Below are 18,283 nucleotides of genomic sequence, written 5' to 3' on the forward strand. Positions count from 1 at the left end.
GTGATCTCAGCTCACTGCAGCTTCTGCCTCCTGGGTTCAAGCAATTCTCCTTCCTCAGCCTCTGGAGTAGCTGGGATTACAGGCGCCCACCACCACGCCCGGCTAATTTTTTGTACTTTTAGTAGAGACGGGGTTTTGCCATGTTGGTCAGGCTAGTCTCTAACTCCTGACCTCAGGTGATCTGCCCACCTCGGCCTCCCAAAGTGCTGGGATTACAGGTGTGAGCCACCGTGCCCAGCCTCTTTTTTGTTTTCTTTTGAGACGGAATCTTGCTCTGTCACCCAGGCTGGAGTGCACTGGTGCAATCTCAGCTCACTGCAACCTCCACCTCCCGGGTTCAAGTGATTCTCCTGTCGCAGCCTCCCTAATAGCTGGGATTACAGGCGTGCACCACCATGCCCAGCTAATTTTTGTTTTTGTTTTTGAGGTGGAGTCTCACTCTGTCACCCAGGCTGGAGTGCAGTGGTGCAATCTCAGCTCATTGCATTCTCCGCCCCCACAGGTTCAAGCAATTCTCCTGCTTCAGCCTCCCAAGTAGCTGGGATTGTAGGCGCCCACTACCATGCCACCATGCCCAGCTAATTTTTGTATTTTTAGTAGAGACAGGGTTTCACCGTGTTGGCCAGGCTACTCTCAAACTCCTGACCTCTGGTGATCCGCCTGCCTCAGCCTCCGGAAGTGCTGGGATTACAGGCATGAGCCACCACACCAGGCTCCCTCCCCTTTCTCTTGTAAAAACACTAGTTATTGGATTTAGGGCCCATCCTTAGTTAAGGATCATCTCCAGGTCCTTAATTAAATACCGCTGCAAAGACCCTATTTCCATCAAGTGTAAGGCTTGCTCTGTCATGAGAACTGAGTCATTGATTGATTGATTGATTCATTCATTCATTCGTTTATTCATTCATTCATTGACTGTGCCAGCACTGGGCTGCTCAGGGCATAGATTCAGCAGAGAACAGCCTCCTGGAGCTTAGAGTTCCCAGAGGGAGGCATTGGTAAATAAACAAGGAGGTAAGTAAATGCAGGTGGGCTTAGTGCTGGGAGGAAAGCAAACCAGGGGCCCTGGAGTGCTGAGCATTTCGCTGGGGTCTGCCTTCCATTCTTTCCTCCATGGATGTTGATTCTGTAGGTGTGCAGGAAATGTTTGGTTTTTCTCTTTTGAGAGAGGGTCTTGCTCTGTCACCCGGGCTGGAGTACAGTGGCACAATCATGGCTCAGGCAGCCTTGACTTCCCAGGCTCCAGCGATCCTCCCACCTCAGTCTCCCAAGTAGCTACAGGTGTGTGCCATCACACCGGCTAATTTTTTTTTTTGTATTTTTGGTGGAGATAGGGTTTCGCCATGTTGCCCAGGCTGATCTCGAACTTCTGACCTCAAGCAATCCACCTGCCTCAGTCTCCCAGAGTGCTGGGATTACAGGCATGAGCCACTGCACTTGGGCCAGGGAATGTTTGTAAGGGAGCTATGGATGCCCGGCTGGCCTGCCGGCCGGGCCCCCCTTACAGAACATAAACCAGGACTGCAGAGCTTGTTTCCTGAGTGCCCACTCCTTATTTATTGGTCAGGTTTTGCCCCTAGCCTGTGACAGATCTGCCTCCCAGTGCCAAGGTGGCAGAGATGTGTCCCCATCGGGCTCTCCCAGGCTGGTGGGGTGACAGATAAAGACACGAAGTCTGACCTGCCATACCCCTGGCACCCCCATCCTTATCCCCTTCCTTCCTTCCTCCCTCCTCAAGGGCCCCTGTCCCTGTTCCCTGCTAGCTCCCAGGCAGCTCCAGTTCACTCCTCCCTGGGTCTGGCCCCTGTGCCCCTATGGGGCTTCCAGCTATGAAGGCCGTGCTCTTGGGCTGCGGGGCCAAGGTGTACTTTCACATCTTCCCACTGGAGGAGGAGGAGGTGGGACAGGAGTGGCCGGCCACTGGGGCGTGCCCTGCAGGCAGAGCTGAAGTGGCCCCAGGGAGGGCCTGTGTGGAGGAGGGCCTGCACGCCAGCCTCAGGACCCAGGGCATGAGGGTGCCCTGCTTGGAGGCTCCGGCAGGGTCAGGCGGCCCGGTGACCCCTGACTAGGCCCCAGCTGCCGGCATGCCCTTGGCGGGCTCTGTGCTTGTGCCCTAGGCCTGGCCCCAGCCTCTGCCTCCTGGCAGGGATGCATCTTGCCATCCCCTTCTGCCTCCCCCAGCCCCATAGGCTCTAGAGAAACTCCCAAAAGATGCCCCAGACCCAGAGCAGGCCCCAAAATGCCATGAGGGCACGTGGGGGTACCAAGCCCTCTGAGCCAGTGCCCCGCCAGTTGCCCTCACCTCTGTCTGGGGATCCCCAGCAGGGCTCACCACTGCAGAGACCCCAGCTGGGGGTGGGAGGAGCTCCCCAAGCCCCACCCCTGCAGTCCACACCAACACAGACCCCTCCATGTGTTTGGGCCAGAGGGCCTCAACCATGATGGGACACTTCCTCCTTGCCAGGCCTGTGTCTCCCAAATGCTTGAGGCTTTAGAGAGCCGGGCCCACCTTCTGCTTGAAGTGGAGGCCCAGGCAGGCAGTTGTAGTGCGTGGCCCCAAGATGCCAGCCTCGTGCAGGGCCGGCGATGATTCGCTTCTCACTCACTCCACACAAATCCACCTCCAAGGCTAGGGTGACTGTCTTCAGCCTACAAATGGGGAAACCTGGCCAGGCGTGGTGGCTCATGCCTGTAATCCCAGCTACTTTGGGACGTTGAGGCAGGAGAATCACTTGAATCCGGGAGACGGAGGTTGCAGTGAGCCGAGAACACGCCACTGCACTCCAGCCTAGGTGACAGAGCGAGACTCCAACTCAAAAAACAACAAACAAAAAACAAATAGGGAAACCAATGCCAGAGGAGGAAAGGCACTCGATCAAGATCCCCTGCTAATGTCAGGGTCCGGGGTCTGAATCCAGGTCTAACATGGGGCCAGGACATAGTGACACATGTGGGTTCATGTCCCAGCTGGGGCCAGGGCTAGGTGGGTGTTGGTGGCAAGAGCTGGCTTCCATAGCTAGGGTCAGAGCACAAAGGCAGGGCCCTAAAGGACCTTGTCTGCACTCCCTGGTCCTGGACAGGAACCAGCTGAGGCTGTGACCACTCCAGCCACCTGCCCCAACCCTGCACCCGTGTCTCCCCCAGCAACACCGTGCTCCCCATTACACAGCAATAGTACCACCTACACCCTGACCTGTACCGGGCCCTATGGATGAGCTTTCATTCCCCACAGTAACCTTTAAGGTGAGCTCAATACTCCCATTTTGCAGATGAGCAAACAGGCTCGGAATGGTACAGGGAGGCCAAACGCCGTAGCTCATGCCTGTAATCCCAGCACTTTGGGAGGCCAATCCAGGTGGATCATCTGAGGTCAGGAGTTCAAGACCAGCCTGGCCAACATGGTGAAACCCCGTCTCTACTAAAAATACAAAAATTAGCCCAGCGTGGTGGTGGGCGCCTGTAGTCCTAGCTACTCAGGAGGCTGAGGCAGGAGAATCACTTGAACCTGGGAGGTAGAGGTTGTAGTGAGCTAAGATCGTGCTGTTGCACTCCAGCCTGGGGGACAGAGTGAGACTCTGTCTCAAAAAAAAAAAAAAAAAAAAAAAAAAAGAAGGTACAAGGACTGCCCAGGTTCATGCAGTGATTTGGGACGGAAGCTGGGATTCAACCCAGGTCTCACCGGGAGCACGTGCTCATGGGGGTCTCTGAAGGCCAGAGGATGTTGGCTGAAGCCTCCAGGCTGGATGGGGGCCTGGGGCCAGTGAGGGGGCCTGTGTTCGGCTCCCCACCACCCCTGCTTGTGGCTCCCCACCACCCCTGCCTGCTTGCTCTGGGTCCCAAGCTCCGTGCCTCTCAGAAGCAGCCTGAGCAGATTTCTTGCCCTAGTTCCCAGAACCTGTGACTCTGAGGCTTTATGTGTTGAAAAGGACTTTGTAATCACAAGGGTCTGTGTGAGGGAGAGGCGGGGGTAAAAGGGACAGAGATGCAGTGACGGGCACAGAGAGCTTGGAAGGTGTCACGCTGCTGGCTGTGAAGATGGAGGAAGGGGCCCCAAGCCAAAGAATGTGGGCACCTCTGGGAGCTGGAAAAGGCGGGGACAGGTATTTCTCCCCCCGCCCGAGCCTCCAGAAGGAACGGCCCCACCAACACGTTGATTTTAGTCCAGGGAAACTGATTTAGAACTTCCAGGCCAGGCGCAGTGGCTCACACCTGTAATCCCAGCACTTTGGAAGGCCAGCGCAGGCGGATCACCAGGTCAGGAGTTCGAGATCAGCCTGGCCAACATGGTGGAACCCCATCTCTACTAAAAATACAAAAATTATCCAGGAGTGGTGGCGCGCACCTGTAATCCCAGCTCCTCTGGAGGCTGAGGCAGGAGAATCGCTTGAACCCAGGAGGCAGAGGTTGCAGTGAGCTGAGATTGCACCGCTGCACTCCAGCCTAGGTGACAGAACGAGACTCCATCTCAAAAAAACAAACAGAGAAAAAGAACTTCCGACCTCAGAACCGTAAGGGAACAAATTTGAGTTGTTTTCAGCCACCGAGTTAGGGGTAATTTGTTATGGCCGCCACGGAAACCCACACACTGAGCTGCTCTTTTCTCACGTGTGTGGTGGTACACCACCCTGACCCCCTACCCGCCGCCCCTCCCAACCCGGCCTCATGCTGGGGAGGTGGAGGGTGGAGGTGGGATGTGAGGCGGGTAGGCAAGCAGCCAAAGGGAGGCCATGGGTGCGGCACTGTCCTCCCCCATGGCCTGTTCTGGACAGACAGGGCCCCCGGATCAGCCCCTAGGGCCTCAGCCCTTCTCTTCAGCCCAAGCCCCAGTGGCAGCAGATCTCAGCACTGCCAGGCAGCATGGAGCCTCCCTAAGGATCCTCCCCTTCTCTCCCTCACCTGCACCCCCCCCCCAGCGCTCAGGAGGGGCTGGCCCCCCTGCTGGGACTTGGCCTCAGGAGGACTTACCCTCCTGGGATGTGAGGCCCTGCCCTGGGAGGGCACTGCCTGCTGGGGCTGGGGGGGCTTCCTAGAGGAGGCGGTCCACATCTGGACAAGGGAGGTCATGGGCCGTTTCCACTCAAGCCCTCACCCAGAAGCCATGACATTTACACATGCCCCAACTGGGCCCGTCTTTGCAGGGCCCAGAGGGGCAGCTGGGGTTTCGTTTCTGTTTTGGGAGATGACAGGTCACATGAGACCCTCCCACCCTCCTCGCCCTTCCTGTATCCCTGAGTGGCCCGCAGCGAGGCTTTCTTGTTTACCAAACACCCTTAGCCTACCTTCTCCCAAGGGTTTGGCTGGGGTGGAGAGGAGCAGAGGTCCTGGGTGTGGGGGAGGGGCCTCTGCGGGTGCCAGGCTGTGTGCCTCTGTGTCTTCTGTAATCTGGGGGCTGGTGGTTAGGTGACTGAGAAGCCACAGAGTAGGTGGGCCCAGGCTGGGTGTGGCCAAGGTGTGGTAGATACAAGCCTCTCCCTGTAGCTTCACAGAAAAGGCCGCAGGGCAGGGCAGGGCAGGGCAGGGCGTGCTGACCTTACAGCACCCCGGGCGGTCGGCACTGTACTGAGAAGTCCATTTTCCAGATGGGGACACTGAACCACTGAGTGATTAGGTGGTAACTCGGCCGAGTTACCCAGCCCAGAAGTGTAGTTCAGAGTCCACAGAGGGAGCAGGCAGGGGTGGGGAGTGTGGGTGGGAGAACACCCAGGGCGAGGAGCCCAGGAGAGGCTCAGGCCTCCACGGAGGGAAGGGCGTGCCATGGCGTTCGCGGGCAGGTGTTCGCTGGCAGGTGCTTGCTGGGCTTTGCTCTGTGCGGCCAGAGTGTGAGGCCAGGTGGGGCGTCAGGAGGTCTAACCGTAAGCCAAGTAGACACTTCCTCCCCCAAAAAGAAGTAGCTAGCTTTCCCACACAGCTGCGAGGGAGGGCAGGTGAAGGGCGAGCCCCAGGCAGAGGGAACAGCAGGATGGAGGCCCCGGGGCAGAAAGAAGCCAGGGCAGCTTCAGCCTGGGGCCTCAAGGGGGTAGTCAGGAGGGCAGTGTGAGTGACGCCAGACCCAAGAGGGCCACAGGTCAGAGGGAGAACCTCATCCAGAGGTCCCATGGTGTAGGGTCACCTCTGGCAGGGTGACCAGAGTGGGCTGGAGTTCCCCAGGGGAGTTAATGAAAAGGAAGGAAGGACAGGCTGCTCAGGGCAGATCACTGAGGACAGCAGGGCTGAAGCCTGGGGCCCACTGCGAGCCTTGGAGGCCCTGGCTACACCGCTGCACTGTCCCCTCTGCCTGAATTGGGTCCAGCAGTGGCTCCACCGTCCGCTGTAAGGGAGGCCTGGGCTCCAGGAGAGAACTTGGGAAGGCACCTCTGAACCTCCATCCAGGGTGTGGGGACAGTGGCCAGGAGTACCTCCACTCGCCATATCCCAGAGGCTCTCCCAGCAGATGCAGGGCTGGGTGGAGGCAGCCCTGGCATCTCCACTGCCTCCAACCCACCCCAACAGCTGCCACAGGGCTGGGAGGGTGTCTGCAGCTGCCAGGATTGTAGGGTGGTTGCCGTTGGGGGACAGCTGGTTTCCTAGCAGACTTCCCTCGGGATTTTCAACTTTTTTTAGTCTGAAAATGGGGGCAGGGGGCAGCTCTACTGTGACATAGTTGTGGGGCTGGGGCCACCCCAGGGCTTCTCACAGGGGAGCGTCATCCCAGCCATGAGGGGATGACCAGCCACCAGCCTCTCCCCTGGGCTGGCTCATCCTTCAAACTCTCTAGGGGTGGCGCTCTCACGATTCCTGATTTACAGACAGGAAACAGAAGGTAGAGAGCCCGTGTCCCCAGACACGGGACTAAGGAGCATTCCGGTGCAGTCGGGCACCCCAGGCCAGGGATACGTATCTGGCGTGATCTCGGCCAGTGCCCGCTGAGAAGCTGATGAAGCCCTGGGCAGAGCTGGATCTCAGCCTGTGGCCGGGCCAGGCCAAGCACCAGCTGTGGAACCTGGCACAGCCCCCATGCTGCTCAGAGCCTCCTCGAAGCATGTGGGATATGCAGCCTGTGACCCTGCCCTGCGCCAGCGAGGACAGGGAGGATAGGGAGACGGGAAGCCCTGGCCAGTCCCGGCTCCGTGTGGGGACGCTGCCTGGGAGAAGGAGCACAGGGGAGTTCAGGTGCACAGGGGCCCAAGATGCTGGCCGCTCTGTGACCTCCAGCAGAGGACTTAGCCACCTGGGCCTTGGTTTTCTCATCTGCAAAATGGGTGGCCAAGTCACAGGGAAGGGTAGAGTTAAAGCAGATGAGGACGTTAGGAGCATGGTGGCAGCTGCCTGCTTTGTGGTGTGGGCAGCATCGTGTGGACAGCTGTCCCCTCCAAGGTGAGAAGTGTGGTGCTGGTCTGCCATAGGAACCTTGGAGCTGCAGCTAGGTCCTGGGTGGGCGGTGGCTGTTGTACCCAGACCTGGTTCTCACCCTGAGGACCTCGTGGCCAGCAGCGGGCACTCATGACCAGGAAAGTGAATCAGCAAAGTGCTAGTGGAGAGTCTGCACTGGGAAGGGAGGGGTTGGGGGTCAGAGGGCTTCTTGCAGGTGATGGCCTCTGAATCAAGATGAATAGCTGCTTGCCTCATGGATAGGGATGAGAAGGGCCTTCCAGACAGGAGAAGCAGTTGCTACTAAGACCCAGAGATGTGGCGCTACCCGGAGGGTCCTGCAGTCTCTGGGGTCAGAGCTCAGGATGCCCGGGAGTGTGGGGAGGGGCCATGTCGGGAGGAGCCTGGATGCTGCCTGCAGGACCTCAGGCTGTGCCTGCTGGGCAAAGCCCTGGGCAGGGAAGGAACTGCAGCCTCCACAGAGGGTGGATGTGGTGGAGAGGTGGGAGGCCAGCTCCTGTCATCCGAGGTCCAGGCAAGCCAGGAAGGGGTACGGGGAGAGCTCTAGGAGGTAGAAATGGGCTAGACTTCCCGACCTCAGGTGATTCGCCCACCTCAGCCTCCCACAGTGCTGGGATTACAGGCGTGAGCCACCCCGCTCGGCCTAATTTTTGTATTTTTGGTAGAGGCAGGGTTTTGCCATGTTGGCCAGGCTGGTCTTGAACTCCTGACCTCAGGTGATCCACCCATCTTGGCCTCCCAAAGTGCTGGGATTACAGGAGTGAGCCAGCGCACCTGGCCTGGTTTTGGTTTTTGTAGAGGCAGGGTCTCACTATGTTGCCCTGGCTGGTCTTGACCTCCCAGCCTCAAGCAATCCTCCTGCCTTGGCCTCCCAGAGTGCTGGGATTACAGGCGTGAACCGCCATGCCCGGCTGCCACAGCTACCTTCCCATCACACCAGTCACGTTGAGCAGTTGTAACAGAGACTGGTGACCCAGGAAGCCTAAAAGATTTGCTTTCTATCCCTTCACAGAAAACGTTTGCCAGCTCCTGCCTCAGAGAGTTTTGTTTCGTTTTCTTTTGTTTTTTTGAGACGGACTGTTGCTCTGTCGCCCAGGCTGGAGTGCAGTGGCGCGATCTCGGCTCATCGCAAGCTCTGCCTCCCGGGTTCACGCCACTCTCCTGCCTCAGCCTCCCGAGCAGCTGGGACTACAGGCGCCCGCCATCGCGCCCTGCTGATTTTTTGTATTTTTAGTAGAGACGGGGTTTCACCATGTTCGCCAGGATGATCTCGATCTCCTGACCTTGTGGTCCACCCACCTTGGCCTCCCAAAACACTGGGATTACAGGCGTGAGCCACCGCGCCCGGCAGCCTTAGAGAGTTTTACAAACAGGGGCAGGAAGCATGAGGGGGTCGGGAGCCCCACAGCTGGCTAGGGACGCAGTGATGATCCTGAACTCCGGGTGGCCGTGGAGGTAGAGAAGGGGCAACAGTCCACAGGACTTGGATGTGTTGGGGGGTGGGAGAGGCGCAGGGGTTTCCTGGTTTCTGGCCTGGGCAAGGTGGGGTTAAGAACCCAGAAAGGAAGCTGGCTGAGGTTTGGCCACATAGTGTGTGCAGAGGACACGGGAGCAAGGTCCTGCGGCAGTGACCAGAGGGCATCTGGTGATACAGGCTGGGCTCCAGCAGGGCCGGGCTGGGGGTGCAGGGCCTCGGAGTTGAAGTGGGTGTGAGCAGGGTCCTGCAGGGATGGCTATCCTGCCCTTCTAGGAGAGAGGGAAAGAGGAATGGGGCCTGATGGGCAACCAGGGGGCTCTCAGACCTCAGGACTGCAGTGTTTTCTTCCCTCTGCCCCCAGCATCCACAACGGGGTGATCGCCGTCTTCCAGCGCAAGGGGCTGCCCGACCAGGAGCTCTTCAGCCTCAACGAGGGCGTCCGGTGAGTGCCTGTCCCACCTTGGTCCAGGGTCCTTGAGTGGCAGGGAGGGCTAGGCCCAGAGTCGAAGGCCCCAGCCAGGCCCCTGACCCGCCAGCCACGCCTGTGCTTCCTCCCCTAGAGGCCATCTGTCAACAGGAGAGCGAGGCCCAAGTTAGCAGTGGCCATGGGGCCAGGACGTGGTTTCCCGAGCTGCCATGTGGGCCATGACCTCCATAAACCACTTCAGGCCTGGTGGCCCTGCACCCCCACAGCCCCAGAGAAAGTTCTTCAAGGGGAAGCAGGGTGGGACTTGGACAGCCGCTGGAGATGACGCTGACGGCCCCCACTGGTGCTGAGCATCGTGAAGGATATTTATTCTGTTAAAGAGGAAGGACCCACCTGCCTAACGACGGGAGTGTTATTCCCGGAAAAGCAATTCCAGCCCTGCCAAACACCCCTCGTTTCCTGTGAATAGCCGGGAAATGAGGATTGCGAAGCAGCAGGCTGGACACACACCCGACAAGCTGCTGCCCCAAGCCAGGTGGCAGGAGCTTCAAGGGAGTCTAGGGTTGCCATTTGTAGTGGAGGAGGCCAAAGCTCAGAGAGGTCAAGTGACTCGCCCCAGATCACACAGCTGCTCCAAGGAGGCAGTTCCCAGCTCTGTGCTATTTCCTTTGGCCCTGACCCTGTTACCTTGTCCCTGTGTCAAAAGAATACTGGCAAAATAGGCAGTAACCCTTCCCCTTGTTATTCAGGAGAAGAGTCAGTGGACTGGCCAGACTTTCATACGCAGGCGCCCCCCTCCACCCTGTGTGGCAAAGCTGAAGGGGCCCTTACATGTGGGTAAACTGAGGCCCAATACATGCCGCTTGTTCAGGGTGTCCTGCTTTTCTCTGGCTTATCTGGCCCACCCCTGGGTGGGGCTCTGGGAGCTCATTTTCCTGATGAGCCTCTGCTTCAGGAAACAGGAGCCTAAAGGATCTGCCAGGGGGCGGGGTGGGGGGCAGTTTGGTTTGGTTTTTGAGACGGGGTCTTGCTCTTGCCCAGGCTGGAGTGTGGGGGTGCAATCTCAGCTCACTGCAACCTCTGCCTCCTGGGCTGAAGCAACCCTCCCACCTCAGCCTCCTGAGTGGCTGGGACTACAGGTAGGTACCACCACACCCGGCTAATTTTTTATTTTTTGCAGAGATGGGAGTCTCACTACCCAGGCTGGTCTCGAACTCCTGGGCTCAAGCCATCCTCCCACCTCCAGCCTCTCAAAGTGTTAGAATTACAGGTGTGAGCCACCATGCCCGGCCAGCTGGGTATTTAAACAACAACAAAAGGAGTTACTGTTAAATTTACAAATCCAGCAGCAGGCACAGTCCCCAGCTTTGGACATCCTTCTCCCCTGCCCTCCTTGGTGTGAACAGCATTGGTAATTGGCTGATTCTTGCTGCTGCCTCTCCACAGGGCTGACACAGAGCAGGCAGCCTCCCCAGGAGTGTGTGCTGGGGGTGGGGGCACAGAGAAGCTGCCCTGGGCCCCAGGCTTCCCTCGTCAGCCCCAGGATTCTACCCAAGAAATGGGTAAAAATCGGGGGCTGTGTTAAACTTTGAGCCCCTGGACAGTTAGGTTATTTGGGGCAACTTCTTTTTAGTCAGTTCAGAATGAAGTGCTGGAATGTTTAAGGAATAATAGCAGGGTCTTTTTACTGAAGCCTTGCTCTGTGCCAGCCTTAGACCAGGAGTTTTTCACACCAAACCTGTAGTGGCTCTTGCCCGTAATTTCAGCACATTGGGAAGCCAAGGTAGGGGGATCGCTAGAGGCCAGGAGTTTGAGACCAGCCTGGGCTGAACATGACAAGACACCTTCTCTATTAATATGTGTTAACGTTTTTTAAAAGTAAATTAAAAAAATACTCATCCACTCGTCACTGCAGCCCTGAGGAGTAGATGCCTTGTTATCTCCATTTTACAGGTGAGGAGACTGAGGCAGAGAGTGGTTGACGTGGGTTGCTTGAGGTCACAGGGCTAATAATGAATAGAGCTGGAGCTCAAGCCCCTGACATCAGGGCCACTGGGTTGTTCAGCTTCTGCCCTACCCCAGCTCTTCTGGACGGTGTGGCCACATTAAACTCAGTGACATTAGCCTGGGCACAGTGGCTCACCCTGTAATCCCAGCACTTTGGGAGGCCGAGGCAGGAGGATTGCTTGCGTTCAGGAGTTCAAAACCAGCCTGGGCAACATGGTGAAACCCTGTCTCTACCAAAGATACATAAAATTAGCTGGGCATGGTGGCAGGCACCTGTAGTACCAGCTACTCAGGAGGCTGAGGCATGAGAATCATGTGAGCCCGGAGGAGGAGGTTGCAGTGTGTCAAGACTGTGTCACTGCACTTCAGCCTGGGTAACTGAGTAAGACCCCATCTCAAAAGAAAAAAAAATGAAAGGATTTTAATTATACATTAAATCCATAATTGGTCACTAGCTTTGATCCCATGAGAGAATCTGTTACTAGAGACATTGATTACACCAGCCTCCAAATGGTCCCCCTTACCCTTTTTTTTTTTTTTTTTTTGAGACGTAGTTTCACTGTTGTTGCCCAGGCTGGAGTGCAGTGGTGCGATCTCAGCTCACTGCGACCTCCGCCTCCCGGGTTCAAGCGATTCTCCTGCCTCGGCCTCCTGAGTAGCTGGGATTACAGGCACACATCACCACGCCTGGCTAATTTTTATATTTTTAGTAGAGACGGGGTTTCACCATGTTGGCCAGGCCGGTCTCAAACTCCTGACCTCAGATGATCCACCCGTCTCAGCCTCCCAAAGTGCTGGGATTCCAGGCGTGAGCCACCATGCCCGGTATCCAGGAGATTTTCATCACCCCAGCAAGAAGGCTTTAGCAGCCCTCCTCATTACCCTTTCCCCAGCCCTGGCATTGACCACAGACAGCTTTCTGTCTGTGGATGTGCCTATTCTGGACATTCCATATCAATGGAGGTAGAGCAGGTAGCCCTTCACGCCTGGCTTCTCTCACTCAGTGCAGTGCTCTTGAGGTCCGCTCAGGGAGGAGTACTTACCCCTGCTTTGCTTTTTTTTTTTTTTTTGAGACGGAGTTTCACTCTTGTTGCCCAGGCTAGAGTGCAATGGCGTGATCTCGGCTCACCACAACCTCCACCTCCCAGGTTCAAGGATTCTCCTGCCTCGGCTTCCTGAGTAGCTGGGATTACAGGCATGTGCCACCACGACCGGCTAATTTTGTATTTTTAGTAGAGACGGGGTTTGTCCATGTTGGTCAGGCTGGTCTTGAACTCCCGACCTCAGGTGATCCACCTGCCTCGGCCTCCCAGAGTGCTGGGATTACAGGCGTGAGCCGTTGCACCCAGCCTGCCTGCTTCGCTTCTTTTCATGCCATATCATATTCTATCGTGTGTATGGAAAGCACAGCATATCGCATCCACCTCGGCTGATGGACGTGGGTTCTTTCTACCTTTTGGCTGTGATGAATAACGCTGCTGTGAACATCTGTGTGCAAGAATTTGTGTGGATGCACGTTTTCATCTCTCTTTTTTTTTTTTTTTTTTTTGAGACTGAGTCTTCATCTGTCACCCAGACTGGAGTGCAGTGGGGCGATCTTGGCTCACTGCAACCTCCGCCTCCCGGGTTCAAGCGATTCTTGTGCCTCAGCCTCCCGAGTAGCTGGGATTACAGGTGTGCATGACCACGCCTGGCTAATTTTTATATTTTTAGTAGAGACAGGGTTTCACCATGTTGGCCAGGCTGGCCTTGAACTCCTGACCTCAAGTGATCTGCCAGCCTCAGCCTCCCAAAGTGCTGGGGTTACAGGCCTGAGCCACCGCAACTGGCCTCATTTCTCTTAGGTTCATATATCTAGCAGTGGAATTGCTGGGTCCCATGATGACTCTGTGGTTATCTCTTTGAGGTACTCTTTCCTTTCCCACAGTGGCTGTACCATTTCACTGTCCCACTTAGCAGCGTATAAGCAGGGCAGGAGAGTTCAGTTTGTCCACATTCTCACCAACACATGTTAATTTCCAGTGCTTTCATTCCGAGAAGTGGCATCTGTTTGTGGTTTTAATTTGCATTTCCCTGATGACTGATGATGTTGAGCATCTTTTCAGGTGTTTATTGGTCATTTAGATATCTTCTTTGGAGAACTGTCTGTTCCCATCCCTTGCCCATTTTTCAGTTGGGTTATTTGTCTTTGTATTATTGAGCTATGAGAGTTCTTTATATATTGTGGATCTAGAGTCTGTTAGATACTGGTTTGTAAATCTTTCCTCCCATTCTGTGAGCTGTCATTTCACTTTATTTCTGTGTCCTTTGAAGCACAAAAAGTTTTTATTTGTATAATGTCCAGTTGTCTAGCTATTTTCTTGATCCCGTCCTTTGATCACCTTTCTTCCTCCTAAGGTACAGAAATGAACACACTTTGCATAATCTTTTTTTTTTTTTTTAAGAGACTAGGTCTCGACTTGCTGAAGAGCAGTGGCATGAACATAGCTCACTGCCGCCTGCACCTTGTGGGCTCAAGTGATCCTCCCACCTCAGCCTCCTGAGTAGCTGGGACTAGAGGCGTCCAGCACCAAGCCTAGCTAATTTTTTTTTTATTTTTTGTAGAGATGAGGTCTTGCTCTGTTGCCCAAGCTGGTCTCAAACTCCTGGGCTCAAGCAATCCTCCTGCCTCAGTGTTGGGATTATAGGCGTGAGCCGCTGCACCTGGCTGAGAAAACAAGAAAAAAATCTTAACAAATAAGTCACTCTCTGTCCAGAGGGCTGCGGATTTAAGGACCCAAACCTCTTTTTATCTTGATGGCTTTGGATGACATTATCCCTGACATGTCATTGTTATGTGACCCACCCTCTTAGACAGAATCTGAGGCCCTGGGCGCCCTCGTTGTGCTCAGCCGTGAGGTCCGTTTCCCCTGTGCTTAGTGGCCTGGGCTGCTATGTGCCGCCTGTGTTGTCCGTGCAGAATACAGCCAGGGTGTCTGTCTGGGGCAGTCTCTCTTCTAGCGTCCCATGTGGCTCATACTGTTCTGCTTTTGACCATGAGAAGCGTGCATCTGAGTCCTCAGGTTAGCGCAGGAGTTCATGGACAGGAGCTGGGGCCGCCTGCTCCCTGCAAGGCCTCTCCTGCTGGCTCCTGGCCAAGTCACAGATGATCTGTCCCTGCCCAACTCCAGCACCAAGTCCTGCTGGCCTAGCTGCTCCCAGGAAGCAGCAAACCCCCTGGATGGGATGTCCCAGCCTCTGCTTTCTGGCCCTGCAGACCCTTCCCACAGCTGTCTCTCTTGAGGCTGACATCCCAGGTATACCCAGGCTGTCCCCTCTGTGGCCTGCTAGCCCCTAGGGCCTGGGATTTGCTGCAGCTTCGTCCCCTGGGCTCCCCTCCTGTGATTTGAGGACATCCACACCCCCTCTTCTCCCTCCCTGGCATGGTGTCCTCTATTCCTAGCATGCCTGGGGCTGGCTTGGGGTTCCCCTTAGGGAGTGGTCCCCTCCCACTGTCAGGGAGCCCGTGCTCAGCTCAGCTCAGGCCAGGTGGCCGTGCCCGCAGCCTGTCAGCAGCAGGTCTCACGTGCAGGCCAGAGGTGCTGTTTGGATTTAAGCTACTTGACTTTGAAGTTTCCCACAATCCCGGACTGGGCAGGCCCTCTCTTCGTGTTCTGTAGAAAGGATGTCTGTTTTTCATCTGCAGGACTAGGGCTCCAACCTTGGGTTCCCTGATCCAGCCTTTGACTTCAACAGTGCGCTTCCAGAGCCTCAGTCTCCCCATCTCTGGAGTGAACATGGTTCCCATCTTGTAGGGCTTTTGCATGGTTGGAGTTGGTGTGCGACCCCTCCTCTGCCTGGAAGGGGTCTCACAGGTCAGGAATGAGGGGAACCCAGGTGCTGGCAGCTGCCAAGTGGAAGTTGCCCGTCCGTTTAGCATTCATTGTGAGCACCCACTACTTACACGCTTGGGAGGTGGACGAGGCCTTCGGCAGCATTCCTGGCCAGGGGCAGTGGGTCCTGAACTGGCCACTCATCCTCAGCCTGTGGTCAGTTCAGATCTGAGGCCGTGTCTGTGCTCTCATTGGGGTCCGGGAGAGTTGGTGGGCACCGTGCAAATGGGGGGATGCTCAGCCAGTGATGCCCCTCACCCCTGCCCAGAGAAGGAGTGCGCTGAGTTCATTCATTGTGAGCTGTTGGGTGAGAGGAAATGTCAGAGGAGGCCAGGGGAGCCGGAGAGGTGGCCAGTGGGTTGGAGCCACCCCAGGTAGGGCTTCATTAGGGCCTCTCCGGGATTTCCAGCCATTGTGAGCCAAGGGGCCATTTGGTCCTGAAGGAGGCATTCATTTGTTCACTTATTCCTTCGTCAGCATTCACACCCGCACTCATCATGGGCAGGGAGAAGACCAGAAAGGCTTTTCTGAGCTACAGCTGCTCCTGATCCCAGTTGACCCCCGGGACCCTCTGTTACCGGTGGAGGGTGTCCAGGTTCTTGGCGCTTTGAACAAAGAATTGAACAAAACACACAAACAAAGCAAGGAAAGAATTAAGGAACAAAAGCAGAGATTTATTGAAAACGAAAGCACACTCCCCAGGGTGGGAGCAGGCAAGCAGCTCAAGGGCCAGGTTACAGAATTTTCTGGGGTTGAAATACCCTCTAGAGGTTTCCCATTACTTGGTGTACACCCTATGTAAATGAAGTAGTGGCCCGCAATCAGTGTGATTGGTTGCAGAAAGCGACCAATCAGAACCTGGAAGTGAAGCACCCTATGCAAACATCCGATTGGTTGTGGAAAGTGACCCATCAGAAGCTGAAGTTACAAAGTTATACTCCTATGCAAATGAAGACTTGGCCCAACCAATTGTGGTAGGGGACGAATCAGAGGTTCTTGCAGTTTTTCATCTGCCGTGTAGAAAAGAGGGGTTGCAAAGGAAGTAGCCTCCGGTCCTTTTGTTACTTGGGCATGGAACATTGGGGTCTTCCTTTGGATTTAGTTCTAGGAAGTCAGTGTGAATTGGCCTTAGATTCCCTGCCTCCAGACCCTACTCTCCTGCCTCACCTCCTGCTGTATGTTCACATGGATCTCAGGCCACAGACAAGGGTGCCGAGGCCCAGACAGGGGAGGGGTCTCGTCCAGAGTCACATGGCGTGCTAGCAAGCACCGGGGCCTGCCCTCCAGCCCTGACTTGCTGAGCAGACGCCCTCGGGTTCAGCCTCATGCCTTCTATGAAGACCCTCCCTTCTCACCTGGTGCCCTGCTCTCTGGCATCACTGAAAGTGGCCCTGCAAGTAATGCCTGCGGTAACTTTGAGACAGATGCTGCGTGGACGTGGGGATCACTCCATGAGGTTGAGGTCACAGCTTGGTCCTTGGCGGACCAGAGGACAGGTCACGGGGACAGTGGGAGAAGGTTGGGGGGACTGCTGGGGCGGGGGCTGCCTCGGGGCACCATTGTCTGTGATCACAGGGTGAACCTCAGCCTTGTTAATGCCACTGCGCTGATTTCACAGTTGTGCAAGGGAGGAGGTTGGGCCTCAACGCCAGTCCTGTTACTAAGGGAAGCTGCTGGCCAGGAGCAGGGCCAGGCTCCAGGGCTGGAACCACTCAGCTGCGCTGTTAGCCTGAACCTCAGCTTCCCCATCCATGAAATGGGGACACTAACATCACCTGTCAGGTGGCTGTGAACGGAGGCCTGTGACTGGCCTGCCTCAGCACTGCCCACAGAGCTGTGCAGGAACGTTAGTATTTTGCCCTGTGCTTCCGTGCACCTGCAGTACTGCCCGAGCCCCAGGCTCCGGTGATGGCCAGGTGCAGAAGCAGGAGCCACCTCCATCCCAGCACCTGAGTGCCGGTTCCCTCAGCCCAGGCCACGTCTCTGGGCTTCACTTAGCTCCCAGATTCCACACCCCATGGCATGGTGGGGGCAGCCAGCCCTGAACTGGGGTCCAGCCTACAGCTTCTCCAGGAATAAAAAGTACAGCCACCCCAAAAGGGCCTCTGAGGACTAGATCATGCAGTCACTGTGTTTGGGGGGATGGTATGTTTATTGCATCTCCACCAGCACCCCCAGATCCATGGTTAAGAGAGCTGACCGGAGCAGGAACAGGAGACTTTGTCACCCTCTGACTCCTGGTGGCCAGGGGCACAGTGAAAAGGGTAGGCAGCTTGCAGGAAGCAAGCCTTATTTGGGCTTTTTTTTCCCAGCATGTTGCTTTTGAAAACTCCAGCCAGTCCTCTCTTTGCACCACAGTGCAGGGCTTCCAAAATGACTACACATTGAAACTGTGTGATCCTAGTAAACCACGGGGAAAATGACAATTGTTCCATAATCTTTAAAAACTTTTCTTTTTTTTTTTTTTTGAGACAGAGACTCGCTCTGTCACCCAGGCTGGAGTGCAGTGGTGCGATCTCAGCCCGCTGCAACCTCCGCCTCCCGAGTTCAAGCAATTCTTCTGTCTCAGACTCCCGAGGAGCTGAGATTATAGGTGCCCACCACCACGCCCAGCTAATTTTTGCATTTTTAGTAGATGGGGTGTCACCATGTTGGCCAGGCTGGTTTCGAACTTTGGACCTCAGGTGATCTGCCCACCTTGGCCTCCCAAAGTGATGGGATTACAGGCATGAGCTACTACACCTGGCCAAAGCTTGTCAGAACATTGAAAGCTGTTGTACTGTTGGTCTATTGGTTATAAACATAACCAACGTATTTTACTGTTTGGTTATAACCATACAGAGAAATGAAAAAGATTGTATAGTAAAATGAATATTTAGTGCACTATAATTTAAAACATTGGGGCCAGGTGCAGTGGCTCACGCCTGTAATCCCAGCACTTTGGGAGTCCGAGGCAGGTGGATCACCTCAGGTCAGGAGTTTGAGACCAGCCTGGCCAACATGGTGAAACCCTGTCTCTACTAAAAATACAAAAATTAGCTGGGCGTGATGGTATGCGCCTGTAATCCCAGCTACTGGGGAGGCTGAGGCAGGAGATTCACTTGAACCTGGGAGGTGGAGGTTGCAGTGAGC

General features: G+C 55.6%; 2 protein-coding genes across 7 annotated transcripts in view, besides 4 other annotated features; both read left to right on the forward strand.

The window, feature by feature from the left end:
- The window catches only part of PRR5 (proline rich 5), a 68,931-nt gene that overhangs the window by 36,634 nt on the left and 14,014 nt on the right, over window positions 1-18,283 (forward strand). For all 6 annotated transcript variants that reach the window (NM_001017528.3, NM_001017529.3, NM_001198721.2 and 3 more), the window contains one exon: window positions 9,207-9,287. In NM_001017528.3, the coding sequence (NP_001017528.1) occupies window positions 9,207-9,287 (81 nt within the window). The remainder of the gene's footprint in view (window positions 1-9,206; window positions 9,288-18,283) is intronic.
- PRR5-ARHGAP8 (PRR5-ARHGAP8 readthrough) overlaps window positions 1-18,283 on the forward strand; it is a 160,581-nt gene that overhangs the window by 3,181 nt on the left and 139,117 nt on the right. The window contains exon 2 of the mRNA NM_181334.6: window positions 9,207-9,287. Coding sequence (NP_851851.3) covers window positions 9,207-9,287 — 81 coding nt within the window. The remainder of the gene's footprint in view (window positions 1-9,206; window positions 9,288-18,283) is intronic.
- Window positions 1,459-2,234: an enhancer, noted in NCBI's record as "H3K27ac-H3K4me1 hESC enhancer chr22:45102723-45103498 (GRCh37/hg19 assembly coordinates)". NCBI's record gives its function as "activates a minimal SCP1, AML or CMV promoter by ChIP-STARR-seq in primed H9 embryonic stem cells {active_cell/tissue: H9 hESC(primed)}" and the evidence as "EXISTENCE:reporter gene assay evidence [ECO:0000049][PMID:30033119]".
- Window positions 4,290-5,121: an enhancer, noted in NCBI's record as "H3K4me1 hESC enhancer chr22:45105554-45106385 (GRCh37/hg19 assembly coordinates)". NCBI's record gives its function as "activates a minimal SCP1, AML or CMV promoter by ChIP-STARR-seq in primed H9 embryonic stem cells {active_cell/tissue: H9 hESC(primed)}" and the evidence as "EXISTENCE:reporter gene assay evidence [ECO:0000049][PMID:30033119]".
- Window positions 8,823-9,324: an enhancer, noted in NCBI's record as "H3K4me1 hESC enhancer chr22:45110087-45110588 (GRCh37/hg19 assembly coordinates)". NCBI's record gives its function as "activates a minimal SCP1, AML or CMV promoter by ChIP-STARR-seq in naive H9 embryonic stem cells {active_cell/tissue: H9 hESC(naive)}" and the evidence as "EXISTENCE:reporter gene assay evidence [ECO:0000049][PMID:30033119]".
- Window positions 16,747-17,583: an enhancer, noted in NCBI's record as "H3K4me1 hESC enhancer chr22:45118011-45118847 (GRCh37/hg19 assembly coordinates)". NCBI's record gives its function as "activates a minimal SCP1, AML or CMV promoter by ChIP-STARR-seq in primed H9 embryonic stem cells {active_cell/tissue: H9 hESC(primed)}" and the evidence as "EXISTENCE:reporter gene assay evidence [ECO:0000049][PMID:30033119]".

The sequence above is a fragment of the Homo sapiens genome, chromosome 22, assembly GCF_000001405.40.
Source record: "Homo sapiens chromosome 22, GRCh38.p14 Primary Assembly".
In the NCBI taxonomy this organism is placed as follows: domain Eukaryota; kingdom Metazoa; phylum Chordata; class Mammalia; order Primates; family Hominidae; genus Homo; species Homo sapiens.